Source organism: Homo sapiens, chromosome 14, assembly GCF_000001405.40.
Source record: "Homo sapiens chromosome 14, GRCh38.p14 Primary Assembly".
Classification (NCBI taxonomy): Eukaryota; Metazoa; Chordata; class Mammalia; order Primates; family Hominidae; genus Homo; species Homo sapiens.
Window position 1 is genome coordinate 94,102,917 of NC_000014.9, and position 17,675 is coordinate 94,120,591.

At 48.9% G+C, this 17,675-nt stretch overlaps 1 protein-coding gene across 8 annotated transcripts, besides 1 other annotated feature; it reads left to right on the forward strand.

Annotated features, from left to right (window-relative positions):
- The first annotated feature begins 2,977 nt into the window (after positions 1 to 2,977).
- IFI27 (interferon alpha inducible protein 27) lies at positions 2,978 to 13,774 on the forward strand. 8 transcript variants are annotated; one of them, NM_001288952.2, is made up of 6 exons: positions 7,820 to 7,881; positions 8,010 to 8,062; positions 8,709 to 8,857; positions 11,935 to 11,964; positions 12,865 to 13,026; positions 13,526 to 13,774. In NM_001288952.2, exons 3-6 carry the CDS (start codon positions 8,767 to 8,769, stop codon positions 13,609 to 13,611), a joined length of 369 nt encoding a protein of 122 aa, NP_001275881.1. In that variant the 5' UTR covers positions 7,820 to 7,881; positions 8,010 to 8,062; positions 8,709 to 8,766; the 3' UTR covers positions 13,612 to 13,774. The 8 variants fall into 8 exon arrangements, with proteins under 8 accessions (XP_047287302.1, NP_001275881.1, XP_047287305.1 ...); XM_047431349.1 differs by having other exon boundaries at positions 8,743 to 8,857; XM_047431346.1 differs by lacking the exons at positions 8,010 to 8,062; positions 8,709 to 8,857 and adding an exon at positions 2,978 to 2,994 and having other exon boundaries at positions 7,762 to 7,881.
- Positions 7,157 to 8,356: an enhancer, noted in NCBI's record as "MED14-independent group 3 enhancer chr14:94576419-94577618 (GRCh37/hg19 assembly coordinates)". NCBI's record gives its function as "activates an origin of replication core promoter dependent on BRD2, BRD4, P300/CBP and CDK7 cofactors, and independent of MED14, by STARR-seq in HCT116 cells {active_cell/tissue: HCT116}" and the evidence as "EXISTENCE:reporter gene assay evidence [ECO:0000049][PMID:35650434]".
- Positions 13,775 to 17,675: the final 3,901 nt, after the last annotated feature.

The following is a 17,675-nucleotide window of genomic DNA, read 5'->3' on the forward strand; positions in this document are numbered from 1 at the left end:
TCAGCCAGAGTAAGCGTTATAGGATGGCGTGGCTCTTGGGTCATTGCTTGAGCCATTGACCCTCAATTACGAAGCCCTTTGTCCTCATGCGTGACTGATCCCTTCCTTTCCCACCCAGGACTCAGGGTGTGACTGATTACTCTAGAAGTTTACTCTAGAAGTTTACTCTACTGATTACTCTAGAAGTTTAGCAACACTACATTTGCCTGGCCTATGGGCCTTCTCCATACAGGTCGAGAAGTTTCATTCCTCCAGGGAGCTCTGTCCCTCTCAGCACAGAGCCCAGGCTCCTCAGGCCCCAGGTGGACTGAGCAGAGCCTGTGAGGATGGGCAAGGGGCTGGGGCTCCTGAGAAGTAGGCCAATGCAGAATACCCATTTCCAGAGACCTCCTGTGTGCCTGGCCCCAGATCAGGTGCCAGCTGTCCTATGCACACTGACCTGGCATCTGCCACACGGCACCTGCCTGGCCTTGAGGATAAGTAAACCACACTTGACTTCTGCAAGGCCTATTTAGATGTGGCCTCTGACCTCAACGTTAGTCCCACTCTGGGCTGTTTGACCTTCACACTTATTTTTCCTTTACAGCTGCACTCCTGCAGGGCTCTCCCTGGGATGCTGGCTGAGCTGACTCCCACAGCTCCCAAAGGGGCCCCAAGGCTCCATCCCACAGGATTGCCCTGGCTACAGAGGATCACAGAGGTCCATCTCTGCCCAGGGTGCACAATGTTGGGGAAGCCAGCCCTTAACCAATGATGTGAAGGGACTTGGGGTAAATTACAGAAACGACCATATTCTCCGCCCTTTCAGCATGGCTGTACAGCTCCTCCCATCAAGAGGTAGGAATTTCTTTCCCCTCCCTTTGAATCTCCTCTGGCCTGCGGAGTTGCTCTGGCCTGGCCGATAGAACACAGTGGAAGTGATGGCGTGCTAATCTTGAGCCTAGTCCCTAAGAAACCTTGCAGCCTTCTGCTGTATCTCCCGGACCCCATCACTGCCATGAGAACAAGCCAGGCTGGGCAAGCACACAAAGTCCATTCATTCCAGACAAGACCCCAGACATGGCAGCGAGCCCAGCCAAGTTCTGCAAAGCTGACCTGCAGCTGACTGCAGATGGATGAGGGGCCCAGCTGAGACCAGAAGAACCACCTGCCTAGATTGCTGACCCACAGAATCATGAGCTACATAACTTTTTTAAGCCACTAAATTGTGTGGTCACTTTTTATCCAGCCATGGGTAACTGACAACATAAGACAATGTGTAAAATCACTGAAGAGGATCAGGCTATATGGCTCGTAGGACAGAAAAGGAAGCGATAGATTCTAATTGCAGCAACCTGGGAAGACTTCCCTGGAGTAAGTGCTGTTTTACTTAAGGATTATGGAGTTGTAAGTACTAGAAACTTGATCGCAACTTGCTCAGAGTTCAACGGACTTCATTGCTTTACTAAATGGAAAGCTCCAAAGGTAAAGTATGCTTCGGACAGGGTTTGATTCAGCAACACAGCACAGATGCCAAAGACCTGTCTTTTCTATTCTTTGTTTCTGAGGCATCAGCTTCATCTTGTGGCTGCCAGCTCTCGTGGTTACAAGACAGCTGTTAGCAAGCTCTGGAAGCTACCTTCTTTATTCATGTCTCCCAGAAAGAACATTTTTTCATGTACTTTCTCCTGAAAAGCAAAGAAACATCTTTCCCAAATACCTCTAGTAAATGTTCATGCTACTATCTTAAATGGGGTCATTTACTCATTCCTAAAACCCTTTATTAGGCCCAAAGGATGGGTGGGATGTGATGACTGGTTTAAGTCCACCTGGACTCACCTTTAGAAAGTGCGAGGAGAGCCCATGCCTCTGATACACTCATAGGTCAAGGCAGGGGCTCCTATACCTGAAAGAGGAGGTTTCTGTTTCAAAGAAGAGAGGGGGGTAAGAGACAGTGAGTGCCCAAACACAGCGTCCTGTACAGACAGCTTGGGCGTTGTTCTCAGGGAAGACTGCGCCTCGAAGATCCTTGGAGGAAACCAAAGTGGGCTCCCAGCCAGGTTCGCTGCTTCTGTCTCTGTCTCTGTCTCGTTATTCTCACCGCTCCAGCCATTAAGGAAGAGCACACCGGACCCGAAGGTAAGTGGACAGTAGGTTACTGTCTTTTTGTTTTTAACTTTACAGTATGGGATTATATTATTTTCTAATGAAAACCAACATTTTATTGCATTTAAATTACTTAAGAAATCTTGAAGTAGCTTCTACTCTTAAAAATCTAAATTCATATAGGTAAGTCTAAAGCCCCTTTGGCTCTGATAAGCATCCTTGCCCCTCATTACAGCCCCTACTCCCACCCTCAGAAGTAAAGCACTGCTGCAATTTCATGCGTTCCTTTCCAAGGACCCCCCTTTTATAGTGTGATAAAAATTCATAAAATTGACCATCTTGACCATTTTTTAAGTGCAGTTCAGCAATGTTAGGTGTATATTCACGTTGTTGTGAAACATCTCCAGAATTTTTTCATCTTGCAAAACTGAAACTCTGTTCCCATTAAACAGCTCCGCTCCGCCCCTCCCCCTGCCCCGGTAACCACCATTCTACTTTCTTTGTGAATTTGACTACTCTAGGTACCACTTAATGGTAGAATTATATAGTATTTGTCATGTGTGTGTGTATATGTGTGTAGAGATGGGCTTTTTTCTCCGTGTTGCCCAAACTGATCTCAAATTCCTGGGCTCAGCTGATCCACCCACCTTGGCCTCCCAGAGTGCTGGGATTACAGGTGTGAGCCGCCGTGCCTGGCCAAAATTATATAGTATTTGCCTTTTTGTGACTGGCTTATTTCATTTAGTATAATGTCCTCATCCAGGATGCAGCATGTGACAGAATCTCCTTCCTCGATAAGGCTGAATGACATTCCACCGGAGGTATAGACCACATTTGGTTGATCCATTCACCCATCAGTGGACACTTGGGCTGCTTCCACCTCTCGGCTATTGTGCATAGTGCTGCTATGTACGTGGGTATGCAAATATCTCTTTAAGATCCGGTGTCTTAGGCCGTTTGCACTGCTGTAACAAAATACCATAGACTAGGTAGCTTAAAAAACAGAAATTTATTTCCCACAGTTCTAGAAGCTGGGAAGTCCAAGATTAAGAGGTGTCAGCCCCCTTGGTGTCTGGTCAGGGTTCCTTTCCTGGTTTGTAAATACTGCTTTCTGTGTCCTCACATGGTAGTGGGATAAGGCAGCTCTCTGGGGGGCCTCTTTTATAAAGGCACTAATCCCATTCATTAGGGCTCTGCTCTCCTGATTTAGTCACCTCCCAAAAAGTTCCATCTCCCAATACCATCACCTTTGGGGTTATGATTTTAACGAATTTGGCGGGGCCGTGGCATTCAGACCATAGCACCCTGCTTTCAATTCTTTGGGATATATACCCAGAGGTGGGGTTTCTGGATCATATAGAAGTTCTTTTAATTTTTTAAGGAACTTCCCTACTGTTTTCCATAGCAACTACTCCATCTTACGATCCCACCAACAGTGTGCAATGGTTCCAATTATATAAGGGCCAACACTTTTTATTTTCGGTTTTTTTGATAGCAGCCATCCTAATGGTTGTGAGGTAGTATCTCATTGTGGCTTTGATCTGCATTTCCCTAATGATTGGCGATCTTAAACATCTTTTCGTGTGCTTTTTGGCCATTTGTATATCATATTAGTTCATCTTGCACTGCTATAAAGGCATACCTGAGACTGGAGACTGAGTACTTTATAAAGAAAAGAGGTGTACTTGGCTCATGGTTCTGCAGGGAGCATGGCACTGGTATCTGCTCGGCTTCTGGTGAGGCCTCAAGAAACTTGTACTCACAATGGAAGGCAAGAGGAACTGACATCACACGGTGCAAGAGCAAGAGGAAGGCAGGAGGTGCCAGGGTCTTTTCTGCAGTCAGATCTTGCGGGAACTAATAGAGTGAGAGCTAACTCATTACTGTGAGGACAGTGCCAAGCACCCCCATGACCGAAACACCCCCGACTAGGCCTCATCTCCAACATTGGAGGTTACATTTTAGCACGAGATTTGGAGGGGGCAAATATTTAAACTATAGCATATATCATCTTTGGTGAAATGTCCATTTAAGTCTTTTGCCCATTTTATTTATATATATCATTTATTATTATTATTATTATTTCAGATGGTGTTTCACTCTTCTTGCCCAGGCTGGAGTGCAATGGCACAATCTCGGTTCACTTCAACCTCTGCCTCCCGGGTTCAAGCAATTCTCCTGCTTCAGCCTCCCAAGTAGCTGGGATTACAGGCACACACCACCACGCCTTGCTAATCTTTTGTAGTTTTAATAGAGACAGGGTTTCACCATGTCGGTCAGGCTGGTCTTGAACTCCTGACCTCAGGTGATCTGCCTGCCTCGGCTTCCCAAAGTAGTGGGATTACAGGCGTGAGCCACCACTCCCACTTTTGCTCATTTTAAAATTGGGTTATTCGATTTTTTGTTGTTGAGTTGTAGCATTTTTTGGTATACTCTGAATGTTTACTCTTCATTGCCAAGTTTGATGTCATGAATAATTTCCCCTATGTTTTCTTCTAGGAGTTTCATAGTTTTGTGGCTCGCATTTGGGCAATTAGTTCTCCATGCCCTTTTAAAGTTATTTCTGTGGATAGATGATAGAAGAGATATATAGGTATCTCCATAGAAAATATTTGTATATAGTTCTGTTATATGCATTTTTATTGCTATGGTTTTGTTTAACCTAATACATACTATTCTGATGCTGGCTTTTTTTTACATTTTATAAGTCTTTTTCATTATTTTTAATTGCTGCTTAGTATTCTACGGTAATGATCCACCACATTTTATTTTGTCTTTTCCCTTTTAAAGGTACTTGTGTCGCTGGTTGTTAAAGGAACATTTCCTACTTTGGAGGAATTTCTTTTTTTTAATTATACTTTTAAGTTCTAGGGTACATGTGCACAACGTGCAGGTTTGTTACATAGGTATACATGTGCTACGTTGGTTTGCTGCACCCATCAACTCGTCATTTACATTAGGTATTTCTCCTAATGCTCTCCCTCACCCAGCCCCCTTCCCCCAACAGGCCAAGTGTGTGATGTTCCCCTCCCTGTGTCCATGTGTTCTCATTGTTCAACTCCCACTTATGAGTAAGAACATGTGGTGTTTGATTTTCTGTACTTGTGATATTTTGCTGAGAATGATGGTTTCCAGCTTCATTCATGTCCCTCCAAAGGACATGAACTCATCTTTTTTTATGGCTGCATAGTATTCCATGGTATATATGTGCCACATTTTCTTTATCCAGTCTATTATTGATGGACATTTGGGTTGGTTCCAAGTCTTTGCTATTGTGAATAGTGCCGCAATAAACATACGTGTGCACGTGTCTTTATAGTAGCCATTCTAACAGGCGTGAGATGGTATCTCATTGTGGTCTTGATTTGCATTACTATTTACTATTGAAATTGTGTAGAACTGCTGGACAAAAACTGTGTCCATATGCTGGCCGTGTATTGTTCCATCCAGAAGTGATTTGAGCCTCAGCATTAGGGTGACCCCAACCCAGCCTTTGGTTAGGACATGGAGCCTGATGATGTCACATACATACATTCATACATTCATTGTGCTAATTTGCAAAGTCTCTGGTACTGATGTAGTAGCTGCACAGGGGCGTGTGGATTTCTGAATATACTGCCTCCCCGGGGGCCCTTCCCAGAGAGAAAGCCAGAGTGGACACCTGCTGGACCCCTGAATAGGAGTATAGATCGCCATCAGTGTGGCTTAAACTAGTTGAACCAACATATTGATGTCACACTTGTGTCAACATAAAAAAAAAAAAAGAGAGAGAGGGAGACAAATCTTTAAGTAAAATCGTTTTACTTGGGAATAATACAAAAGAAGTAGGATTGCAATCCCACAACATAAATATGGACCAGGGTGGCCTTTTTGTTTTGGAGAACAAAGGAAAAAGCTGGGGATTTTTAGAGAAAGAGGCTGTTATGCAAGTTGTTCTGAAGGAAAGTTCAATGCAATTTGTTTTATGAAAGTTATGCAAGTTGTTTTGAAAGAAAGTTTAATGGCTGTGATCCCACAGCCGAAAGCTCACACCTGTAATCCCAGCAATTTGGGAGGCTGAGGCAGGAGGATCACCTGACATCAGGAGTTTGAGACCAGCCGGGCCAACATGGTGAAACCCCATCTCTACTAAAAATACAAAAAATTAGCCGGGCATGGTGGCAGTTGCCTTTAATCCCAGCTACTTGGGAGGCTGAGGCAGGAGAATCACTTGAATCACTCCACCGGGAGGTGGAGGTTGCAGTGAGCCGAGATTGCGCCATTGCCCTCCAGCCTGGGCAACAAGAGCAAAACTCCATAAAAAAAAAAAAGAAAGGAAAGGGAGGGGAGGGGAGGGGAGGGCAGGGAAGGGCAGGGAAGGGCAGAGAAGGGCAGGGAAGGGCAAGGGCAAGGGCAAGGGCAAGGGAAAGGAAAGGAAAGGAAAGGAAAGGAAGAAAAAAAGTTTATTGGTGGTGGCAGCATCTTACAAGACCTGGCGAGTTCTGACCGCCAAGTGTCAGTAGTTGCTAGGTAGGACTGGGAATCTTGGAGTTATGGTCAGGTTCCTGCAGTTTTGGATTGGGTTTGTGAGACACTGTGCCAGGCAAGTGTTTTTGCATAACTGGCTCGCTCTCCCTGTGCTTCTAGCTGTCCTTGTGTGGCCCATGTGATAAGCTGCAGTTTGGAAACATTTCTTGTGATAGTTCCTGTTAGCAGGCAAACGGGAGAGCCTCATCTTGCGTGAGAGCCCTCCCATTAAAGCCTTGCTGGCTCTGTCTGCTGAGGTTTTACCCAAGTGACTCCATTTTGAATCTTACAACTCGCACACTACTCATGTGGAAGATTTAAATGTACATTCCAGGACCTGGTGCTTTCTCTTCCGCCTGTTCTCAAAGCAGCTGCAGGGTGAGCCTGACTGTGTCATTTCTCAGCTTCATCTCCCTTTCCCCAAAAAGGTATAGATGATAATCCCCTGCAATGGCTTCAGGACACAAGATCAAGTCCTTGCAGTGCTTTTGTGGCCTCACAGGGCCTGGATCCCTGTTAAACTCTGAGTTCACCTCCTGCCTCTCTCCCCTGCCCACCTGCTGAGGCCACACTGGCCCCCTTGCTGCTCCTGCCACACGGGCTCTGCCACTGCTGTGGCCTCCACCTGGAATGACTGCCCCCCCATAATTCTGCCTAGGTCACTGCTTCACCTCCTTTTGCTTTAGCGCTTCATCAAATAACATTCTATACATTTAGTTATTTATTATGTTTAGTTTGCCCCCATTGCTGGTAAACTCTGTGAGGATGGATATTTTGGTCTGTTTTGTTTACAGTCCTGTCCCAGTGCCTAGTCAGTATCTAGCACAGTGGGCCTTCAGTTGAGACTTTTTTTGAAAAACGGAACATCTGCCTATCGCAAGGACTACTATTATTCTGAAAATCACCTTCTTCATTAGAAAGTAATATTTATCATTTTATTATAGAACTTTGATCTTACTTCTTGTGACTTCATTCTGCGTAGAGCACACTCCCATCCTTGAATTAAATGACAAAGCATTTTATATTAACTGACAATGACTGATGCCATGGGCAAATCCTATTTCTGTAAATAACTGAATTTTCTTCTGGACTGCGCATGAGGGGAGAAAGATGTCTGCAGTTTCGGTTTCCTGGAAAATGAAACCTATCTCATTTGTTGCCTGTGTCAAGGGGCAGTGCTTCAGTCGGGGTGGAGCTGCTTAAAAGGCCTGGGATCACACCCTTTGGGAACACATCCAAGCTTAAGACGGTGAGGTCAGCTTCACATTCTCAGGAACTCTCCTTCTTTGGGTAAGACTGGGAGGGTGGGCAGGAGCTACCCTTCCCGTGGCCCCGGACCTTGGGTGGGCTGTGGGCTCAGGGAGCGGAGGGGAGGCCTTAAGCATCCACTCTCTGCCCGGTGTTTTTGTTCTCATCAGGGAGCCTCAGATGGGAAGGGACTCGAGCCCCACCTGTCCCTGGACTCTGGAATGTAAGGACAATTAGCTTTGTCCTTGCCCAGGTTTTCCTCAGGCCTTGAGGGCGGCTTGGGGTAAAGTGGGCAAGGGGAAGAGATAAGTGTTAGGAGGAACCAAGTCGAAGCCATTGCAAGTCCATGCCTGGGCGGGGTGTTGCTTCCCTATGGAAAGCTTCTGACCTGGAGCAAATCACTGAGCCAGATCGCGCTCCCTCATCTGTAACATGCGGAGGAGGAGGGTCCCATCTTTTTCACGTTAGTGAGGAGATTACATAAGAGCAGGCACCTCGCCTGCTGTATATGCCTTAAAAATGCGATTGGTTCTGATTTCTTAGTTTTGGTGCTTTTTCAATTGCTCCGTGGAGAGATAAGGGAGTCCCGGAAGTGTCTAAGACATTGGCGCTGGGACTTTCAGGAGAAAGAAAGCAGCCCCCCTGGGGAAATAAAGTCCCTCAGGGCCCTGACCTAACACAGGTCCTTTGGTAGCCCCAACTCCCCAACATCCCTCCCTCCCTCACCCCAGGATCCTTTCAAGGCCTGCTGCTCCACAAGCTCAGAGCAGCCTCCCTAGCCCCCTGGAGCCCGTCACATTTTTCAGGACAGTGGGAAGCAAGTCAGGTTGTGTGCCCATCCCGTCCTCAGAGCTCCATCCCTTCGGCAGGTCTGGCTGAAGTTGAGGATCTCTTACTCTCTAGGCCACGGAATTAACCCGAGCAGGCATGGAGGCCTCTGCTCTCACCTCATCAGCAGTGACCAGTGTGGCCAAAGTGGTCAGGGTGGCCTCTGGCTCTGCCGTAGTTTTGCCCCTGGGTGAGTGTTCCTGGGAGGGGCTGGTGCTGGGGGCGAGGAGGCGGCTGGGAAGGGCGGGGGTCCTGTCCCGGGACCCGTGGGAGAGAAAATGGGGGACACCCGCAGCCTTGCTGCCCTGTCCTGTCTTCTCACAGCAGGCGTCCACCCTAACTTTCCATCTGGGAGGGGGCCCGGGGCAGGCAGACTCTGGCCAGATGCCCAGCCCTGGGTGTTCCACAGGTCCTCTCCCCTCTGGGCCCGGGCCTCCTCCTGCCTAGCCGGAAAGGGTCTATCTACCACTGAGTCCCACTCTCTTCAGCTCTCCCTTCCCCCAGATTCACCATCAGAATTCATCTCCTTTAGGAGTTTACCTTGTCAATAGGGCCCCGTGTCCTATGGGATCTCACATCCAGAGTATCGATTTTAACAAAATTCTTCAGCTCACTTTTTTCATTAGTTTCTGGGAGATCTCTTTCTGGTTTTATTTATTCTCATTTTCTTCCTTTTCACCCTCGATTCCCCTCCCTCAAAGTCAACCTTTCTAATATATTTAATGTGTGTCTGTTTTTCATATGTATTTTTGCAGAATGGGTATTGTGTTTTGTTTGCGGGCATTTTAACTGACATGCAGGATGGTGTGCTGTAGATCCCATTCTATTGCTTTTTTCCACACTGAGAACCATATTCTTGAGATCCATCAGTGTCATTCGATGAGCATCTAATCCTGGCTTCTACCTGCTGACAAGTGCTCCTCTGTGTGTATCCCCTGCCCTTTACCTTTCTGTCTCCGTGGGTGGACATCCAGGGGTTCCCCCAACTCCGCCAGCACAAATGGCACAGGCTTGAATGGGGGCACAGGGCCCCTGACTCCGACCCTGACTTCTGACCCCTGCCCCAACCTCTAACCTCTGTTTGAGCCTGCACTCACCCTTTGCTGACCCTGTCATCCTCAGCTGCCCTGAGCCCCAACATCTCTCTCCTCAGACCCTTGCTGGGGGCACTGGAGGCTAGCTCCTTCATGCTGGGGTCCCTCACTGGCACCCTGTTTTGCAACTTGGAGGTAACTGGCCCTCGGCAACACACACCACTCTGGGCTCCCAACTCAGTACAGAGAAGTGTGATGAGCAAGCAAGGGCCTGGGCCACGCCCAGCAGTCCTTTCTGTTTGTCAGAAATGCAGATGACTTCTCAGTTTAAGATCAAGCAATTCATAAAATTAAAATAATAACAGCTCAACTTAAGCAAGCGCTTTTATGTTCTAGTCACTTACCCTAGCACTTGAGGTTTGTCAATTTAATTCTCATAACAACCCCAGAGGAAGATAAGAAGATAATATCGTCCCTTATTTACCAACTGGGACAATTTACTGTTGTCCAAGTGCTCTGGGCAGGACAGAAGGGTGTGGGTGTGCTGCTTCCAGGCTTGGAACAGGAGGTAGAACAATGAACAATGACAGAAAGTATTAATAGGCCAGGCACGGTGGCTCACACCTGCAATCCCGGCACTTTGGGAGGCCAAGAAGGGCGGATCACTCGAGGTCAGGAGTTTGAGACCAGCCTGGCCACCACGGTAAAACCCTGTCTCTACCAAAAATACAAATATTAGCTAGGCATGGTGGTGCATGCCTGTAATCCCAGCTACTTGGGAAGCTGAGTCAGAAGAATCACTTGAATCCAGGAGGCAGAGGTTGCAGTGAGCCGAGATTGTGCCACTGCACTCCAGGCTGGGTGACAGAGCTAAGATTCTGTCTCAAAAAAAAAGAAAGAAATATTAATAGAAGTAGGAAAAGGTTGGAGGGAGGTCTCAGGGTAGGGCAGGTTCTGAATGGCACGAAATAATGGCCAGGCTACTCCGCCGTATGAATGCCCATCAGCTGAGCCTAACAGGCAGGCCTCCAGACACACCGCAGCCAGTTCCTGAGGGCTTTTGTGTGTCAGGGTGCAGGTCTGCTGGGCTGCCAGCCAACTTGACATCACCTCTCTTGCCTGCCAATAAAACTGAACCTTCTAACGAGGTTATCCATTCCTGATTCCCTGGGCTCATAACCCTTCTAGGTGGCCTTTCTGGTCACTCAGGGGTGGGCCTTCATACCTGCGTCTCTTTACTTCCTCCCACCATCACTCTAAGGCCTCTCCCTGGGAGCTGGCTGAGCTCACTCCTGCACATTTGGCTGTCTTTAGAACTCCTGGTCCCAAATTGCAGTTCTGGCCCCTCTGGCTGCTGGGGAACATAACCTCTGCCTGCTCCCCAGGGGCTCACCGTGTGGGGGAGCAAATCATGTATATCCAGTGCTGTGAGTGGCTCCAGTCATGGAGGAGCAAGGATGAGTTCTGCCTGGAAGAATCTGGGAAGGCTTCCTGGAGGAGGGAACAATGGCATGGACCTTGAAGAGTCAGAAGCTTTCAATTCATTCCATTCAAGCATTGCTCTCATGTGGCATTCAAGCATTCTATAGTGCTTGCCGTGACTCAGGCGCACAGTGCAAAAGGAAGCACATCTTTCTCTGCCATGAGGACTTATTAGTGTCTGAAGAGCTTTTTCTGGACTATAGGAGAAAGTCATGGTCTCCCTCACTAATAAACACTGACCCTGCTTCGGATGAGCTAACAGCCCTGCTCAGAAAGCATGACACCCATCCTGTTCACTTTTCCCTGCCCCGGTCAAACCACCAAGCCCTAGATTTCATTGCCAAGTATCCTGTATTTACTGGGAATGGACATCACAGTAGCATGCCTTCCTAGCCACATCTATGAGGTTTTGTTCATTTTCATTCTGCTTTTTGTTTGAGCTAAACCTGCCTTGGGAGGCAGAAAAGAAAAGATAACATCTGATTCCCCCGATCAACCAACCAATCAACTAGGTCAGGGCCACGTAAATTCATTCAGGACAAGCACTGAGGTCAAACTCCCCAGTGATCCTCACCCTCCTCCAGAATTTCCACTTCCCGAAATGAAGCAAAGAGCGGTAGACAGGAGTCATCCCTTCTTGTGGCTCCCAACCTGGGGCAGCCCCCTGCCTCCCTTTAGATGGGCAATCGGCTTAGAAAGTGGAGGGGAAGCCAGTGTGGATCTACTCACAGAATGTTCTTTTGGTTTCCAGCCAGGATTGCTACAGTTGTGATTGGAGGAGGTGAGTCTGTGGGGAAGGGGCTCAAGTAACCACCTGCCCCTAGGGAGGTGGACTTGGGGAGCAGCTGGCCTTGTCCATGCCAATGTTTCCCTCACATGGGTGGTCAGGGGAGGAGGTGGGGATGAGGGGCTAAGTATGAACCAAGGAGCTAGAAATACAGCACTGGAAGCTGGAAGCAGGGGGCTTGGAGACTGGGAGCTGGAGTGCGTGTGGGCAGGGTGTGGCAGCAGCCGGCAGAGGCCATTTCCCCTTGGCAGAACATTCACCATGTGACCCTGAGCATGTCTTTGAACTCCTCTGAGCTCCTGTTTCCTCTCCAGAGAAAAGGCTGGTAATGCCCATTCAGGGTTATGGTCAGGATTGCATAGGGTGAAACAATAGAGATTGAACACAGTAGACATGAAAGAGATGCCAGGGCTCAGCTCCCTTTGGTTTAGTTGCTTCCAGTGTGCTCTGTGGCAACACCACGGAGCCCTAGAGCTGTCTCTTTGAGCCGCTCTGAATGTGCCTCTTACATAATCTCCTGGGCAACATCTGCTCCCCTAATGAGATTTGCTCCCCAGCAAAGATAAGAAACTTGCCAACCACTCCCCTGGTCCAGCATTTGGCCAAGGCAGACACTGAGGCTCTGAGGACAAGTGGCTTTCCCAAGGAAGGTCCTGCTGCCCAGAAGAGCTTGGCCCAGAGCCCTGTGCCCAGTGACCCCACTAGCTTTTCCCTCTACTTTCCCCGCCTGGCTGTGCTCCCCTTGATTCGTGCCTATTGGCCGTGCCCATAGTCTCTCCCAAGCTCAAAGTTCACCTCTTTCTCCAGATCCCCTGGGGTCCCCAAGCCTGACTCAGTGTATCTGGGGGGGTCCCTTCTGAGCCCACGCACCGACCCAGCTCCTCTTCCCTGCAGTTGTGGCCATGGCGGCTGTGCCCATGGTGCTCAGTGCCATGGGCTTCACTGCGGCGGGAATCGCCTCGTCCTCCATAGCAGCCAAGATGATGTCCGCGGCGGCCATTGCCAATGGGGGTGGAGTTGCCTCGGGCAGCCTTGTGGCTACTCTGCAGTCACTGGGTAAGTATCCTGGCGGGGCTTGCTGGGGAGGGCGATGAGGAGGGCAAGAGCCTCCAAGGACCCAGTCCCAATCTCAACCCTATGAACCTCAATCTCCCTGTTCCTCTGTCTCTCTCTACACATTCTCTCAGGGTTTCTCTGAGGGAGATGGAGGAGGGAGGGAAGGAGCCCAAGCCAGGAACAGTGCACTCAGGAAGACTCAGCCCGAAGCAGATTTGCTGGGTTACCTGGGGCGTCTCCTCCCCTCTGGGGTGCAGCCTCCTTCCCTGAAGAGCGAGGCTGCTTCTAGCTCTGGAGTTCACCATGGGGGTTCATGCCTGCAGCAGCCTCTCCCCAAACAAAGACCCCGAGGGTACTGGGAAACAGAGAGGGGAACTGGGTGGGGTCTGTAAGCCTCAGCCCCTGCTGAGGGTCACTGGAGTCTCTGACCCCACAGTCCTGCCCACAGAGCTTCCCCGACAGGCATGTCCCACTCTGTCCACCCTCTGCTTCTTCCCAGGAGCAACTGGACTCTCCGGATTGACCAAGTTCATCCTGGGCTCCATTGGGTCTGCCATTGCGGCTGTCATTGCGAGGTTCTACTAGCTCCCTGCCCCTCGCCCTGCAGAGAAGAGAACCATGCCAGGGGAGAAGGCACCCAGCCATCCTGACCCAGCGAGGAGCCAACTATCCCAAATATACCTGGGGTGAAATATACCAAATTCTGCATCTCCAGAGGAAAATAAGAAATAAAGATGAATTGTTGCAACTCTTCCCAGAATCTCTTCTTCTCGCTGGCTGTGGGGCAGGCCCAGCATACTTGGGGTGGGGAGGGGGCATGTTAGGCTCAGGAGTATCAGGAAACGCGTTCGTATGTTGTTTTGCTCCTTCTTTCCACACCCTCTATGAGCACATGCTGTGGTCCAGGCACTGGGCTGGGCCCCAGGGAACAGAGGGGACACAGCTCGGTCCCCTTGGTCCCCTCAACCCCCACAGCCAGCGACACTCACGGTCTGCTGAAGGGATGGACCCACAGGCCGATGGCCATGGGCACGGACCTCTGATAAGTGCTATGCCAGAGGCCAGCCCATGGCTCTGGGGGCCAGAGGCATGTTGAGGAAGGGGAGTGTGGATTTTATCCTGAGGACTTCGGAGAGGCACTGAAGGGTTTCAACAGGCCAGCGACCACAGACACTACAACCCTGCGCACCCTGCCCTGGGGAGGGGTCATGTTAGGCTCAATTCTCTTTCCCCACACTGTCATCACAAAAACTTGGGATGTGATGAACCGAAATGAATCTAAATTTGAAGACAAGCTGTCCCCTCCCCTGCTACAACTCCATATATAACCCTGGGCAGGTCACCTCCTCTCTGAACCTGTTTGCCCCTCTGTAAATGGGGAGTTGAACTAAATGACCTTCAAGATCCCAGCCAGGGTTTGTGTTTGGCTCAGTTCATGTGGCTCAGGTTTGTGTTTGGCCGTAGTGTCTGTGATCACTGCAAACAGAGTGAGTCCCTGTCTCAAAAAGTAAAAAAAAAAAAAAAAAAAAAAAAAAGAAATTATCCGGGTGGCTCTGATCCAATGACATGAGCCCTTTGAAAGCAAAGAAGCAAAGAGCAGCAGAACTGTGAGTCTAGTGCTACAGACATTTCAAAAACTTGAACAACTCATCCATGTCTCTTAATTGGGTCAACGAAGCATGGTTTATTGCTTCATTGCAACTTAATTGTTTATTTCAACTTAATTCCAGCCATAGGAATTAAGCTTCTCAAGATATTCTTTCAATACGTGATTCTTTTCCCCCACCTCCCCCTTTCTTTGATGCCTTGGGGAATCTGAAAAAAGCTGTGAAACTTCTCCCCACAAAATGTACACATTCCCCAAATAACACCCTCATTGTCAGGGCTTTCATTAGAACATCAGAAGACCCTCATTGGAATGAAAGGTACAACCCCCCGCATTAACTAGAAATCCAAGCCCTTCCAAAAGGAAAGCACTTGGGTCTGACCTGCGTCTGGGACGATGGACGAGCCTGCATCCCAGCTGAAGCCCAGTAAATGGTCCTGCAAGGCAGGTCACCCTGGAGCACCCATTATTCTAGGTGTGAGTCCTGACCTCCTCCCTCGTCCCCCTCATGAAGATGAGGCCTCCCGGTTCCCAGAGGACCTGTTTCCATTCTGGCACTGAGCCCCTCACCCCCACCTCGGTTCTGTGGCTCTCACCCCCACCTTGGTTTTGTGGCTCTCACGTGGTTCTTTATCTTTAAACCCTCAGCTTCGACCTTTGTAGCAGGCAGAATTCTAAGAATGGTGCCCAATAACCTCCCTAGAATAATCCCCTCCTCTCTGGGTGTTGGTGGAACTTCTGAGCATGTTGAGCTATCACTCCTGTGATTTTGTTACATTAATGGCAAAAAGGAGATTATCGGCTGGGCAAGGTGGCTCATGCCTGCAATCTCAGCACTTTGGGAGACCAGAGGGATTCCTTGAACCCAGGGGTTTGAGACCAGCCTGGGCAACATGATGAAACTTCATCTCTACAAAAAAACACAAAAATTTAGCCAGGCATGGCAGTGCACACTTGTTGTCCCAACTACTCAGGAGGCAGAGGTGGGAGGATCACTTGAGCCCAGGAGGTTGAGGCTGCAGTGAGCCACAATTGTGCCACTGCACTCCAGCCTGGGCAAACAGAGTGCAACCCTGTCTTAAAAAAAAAAAAAAAAAAAAAAAGAAAAGAAATTATCCAGGTGACTCTGATCCAATTACATGAACCCTTTGAAAGCAGAGAGTTTTGTCTGCTCACAGCAGAAAAGGAAGTCAGAGATTTGAAGCATGCAGGGGATTTGATGTCTGTCTCTGGCTTTGTGGATAGGGATGCCATGAGCCAGGGAACGCAGGTGGCTATTAAGTGCTAAAAGCTGTCTCCAGCTGCCAGCCCACAAGAAAATGGGGCCCTTAGTCCTACAATGGCAAATAACTGAATTCTGTGAATAATCTGAAGGAGCTTGGAAGCCAATTCTTACCAGAGCCTCCAGATGAGAGCCCAGGCTGGCTGAAACCTTCCATTTCTGCCTTGTGGGGCCATAAGCAGAGAACTCAGAACTTCTGACCTGCAGAACTATAAGATAGTAGTGGGTGTCACTTAAAGCCAACTAAGTTTGTGGTAGTTTGTTACACAGTAGTAGAAAATGTATGCAGCCTGGATACCCTGTCTCCCTTCACTGGGCTGAGGCTTTTTCACCCAGGAGCTGGCTGAACTGACTCTGGCAGCCCCAGGATTCCTGACACTCCTGGCCCCAGATGGCCCCTGGGACACCAGGTTCTACTCCTGTGGGATGCCAGAAGAATCTGCCTGCCCTCAGGCCTGCAGTGTTAGGGAAGCCAGGCACATCCACAGCTAACTGGGCTGTGGCACACAGTGGCTCAGCAGGCTGAACAGGGATGCAGAGAATTCTCATTGCAGGGATCTAGAATGGCTTCCTGTTGAGACTGGTGTCTTCACCAGAGAGGCAGAGGCTGCTAGTAGTCACCCAATGCCTGTTCTTTCCTTCTGGATGATACAAGAGAGCCCTGGCTTTGGCTAGGCACACGATCCCTAGGGAAGAACTGCATTCCCAAACCCTCTTGCAGTTAGACGCACTCATCTGGGTATGCAGTTAAAGGGATTGGATGGGCCCACCTTTGCCCCTTTGTCCTTTCCCATGGGCTCTGCTGCAGGTGAGAGAGTGAGCATCTTACACTCATAGCTGAGAACAACACCTTGCAGAAGGCAGAGCAACAAGACTGCAGGAGCCTGGGTCTCCCAGAGCAGAGTCACCACCCTGGCTGATATTTCTAGATGAAAGAGAAGAAACTTCTCTTGTGTAAGCCAAGAGGGTCTCTTACTGCAAACAAACATACATTCTATTGCACACAGTAGGGAATCTTTTGATTGCAAGCAATGGAAGAATTAACCCAATAAAGAGAGTTGCTTCCATCTCTGTTCCATTTCAAAACACCATTAAAATAACAGTCAAGGATCAAAGAAAAGCATAAGCCCACAAGGACAAAGAGAAGAAAAAAGGAGATGACTCCACAGAAGTCACACCTGCTTTCTCTAAACCCACCAATTGGAGCCTGAACCCCGCAAAAGAAACCTGCTTGGGTAACGCCCTGGACCCCCATAAAGGCCCACAGCCAGAAATGACATGGACAAGTGGTTCCACTTAGCAGCCCCAAGAAAGCTGGACATTAAGTTGTCAGTAAAGAGAGCAGAAAGAGTCAGCTTTGCCCTATAGGACCCTGAAGGCTCAGCCACTAGAGCAGCATGGGCTTTGGAGGTGGGCATGAAGGTAGATTGAGAGCAGGAGGGCTGGCTGGAAGTCTGCTTAAGAAGCAGGAAAACCCCAGGATTCCCCCTCCAGTAGACCACTGGAGAGTTATCTTTGGAGAGGTTGAGTCTCTGGACTAGGGGCCACCAACAGGACTGAGGGCAGGAGCTTCACACTAAAAATGAAAGTTTCCATACTAAGTGTTAAGTCTCTCAATCTTCTTTATCAATAGACACCTAGAACACTAGCAGGCAGGCTATGACATTCAGGATGGAAGTGCAGTGAACTCTTACACTGTTATGTTGCCTTGGCCTCCATTCTGAATCTAACTGGGACTTTCTCACACCAGAAGTAGGGTTT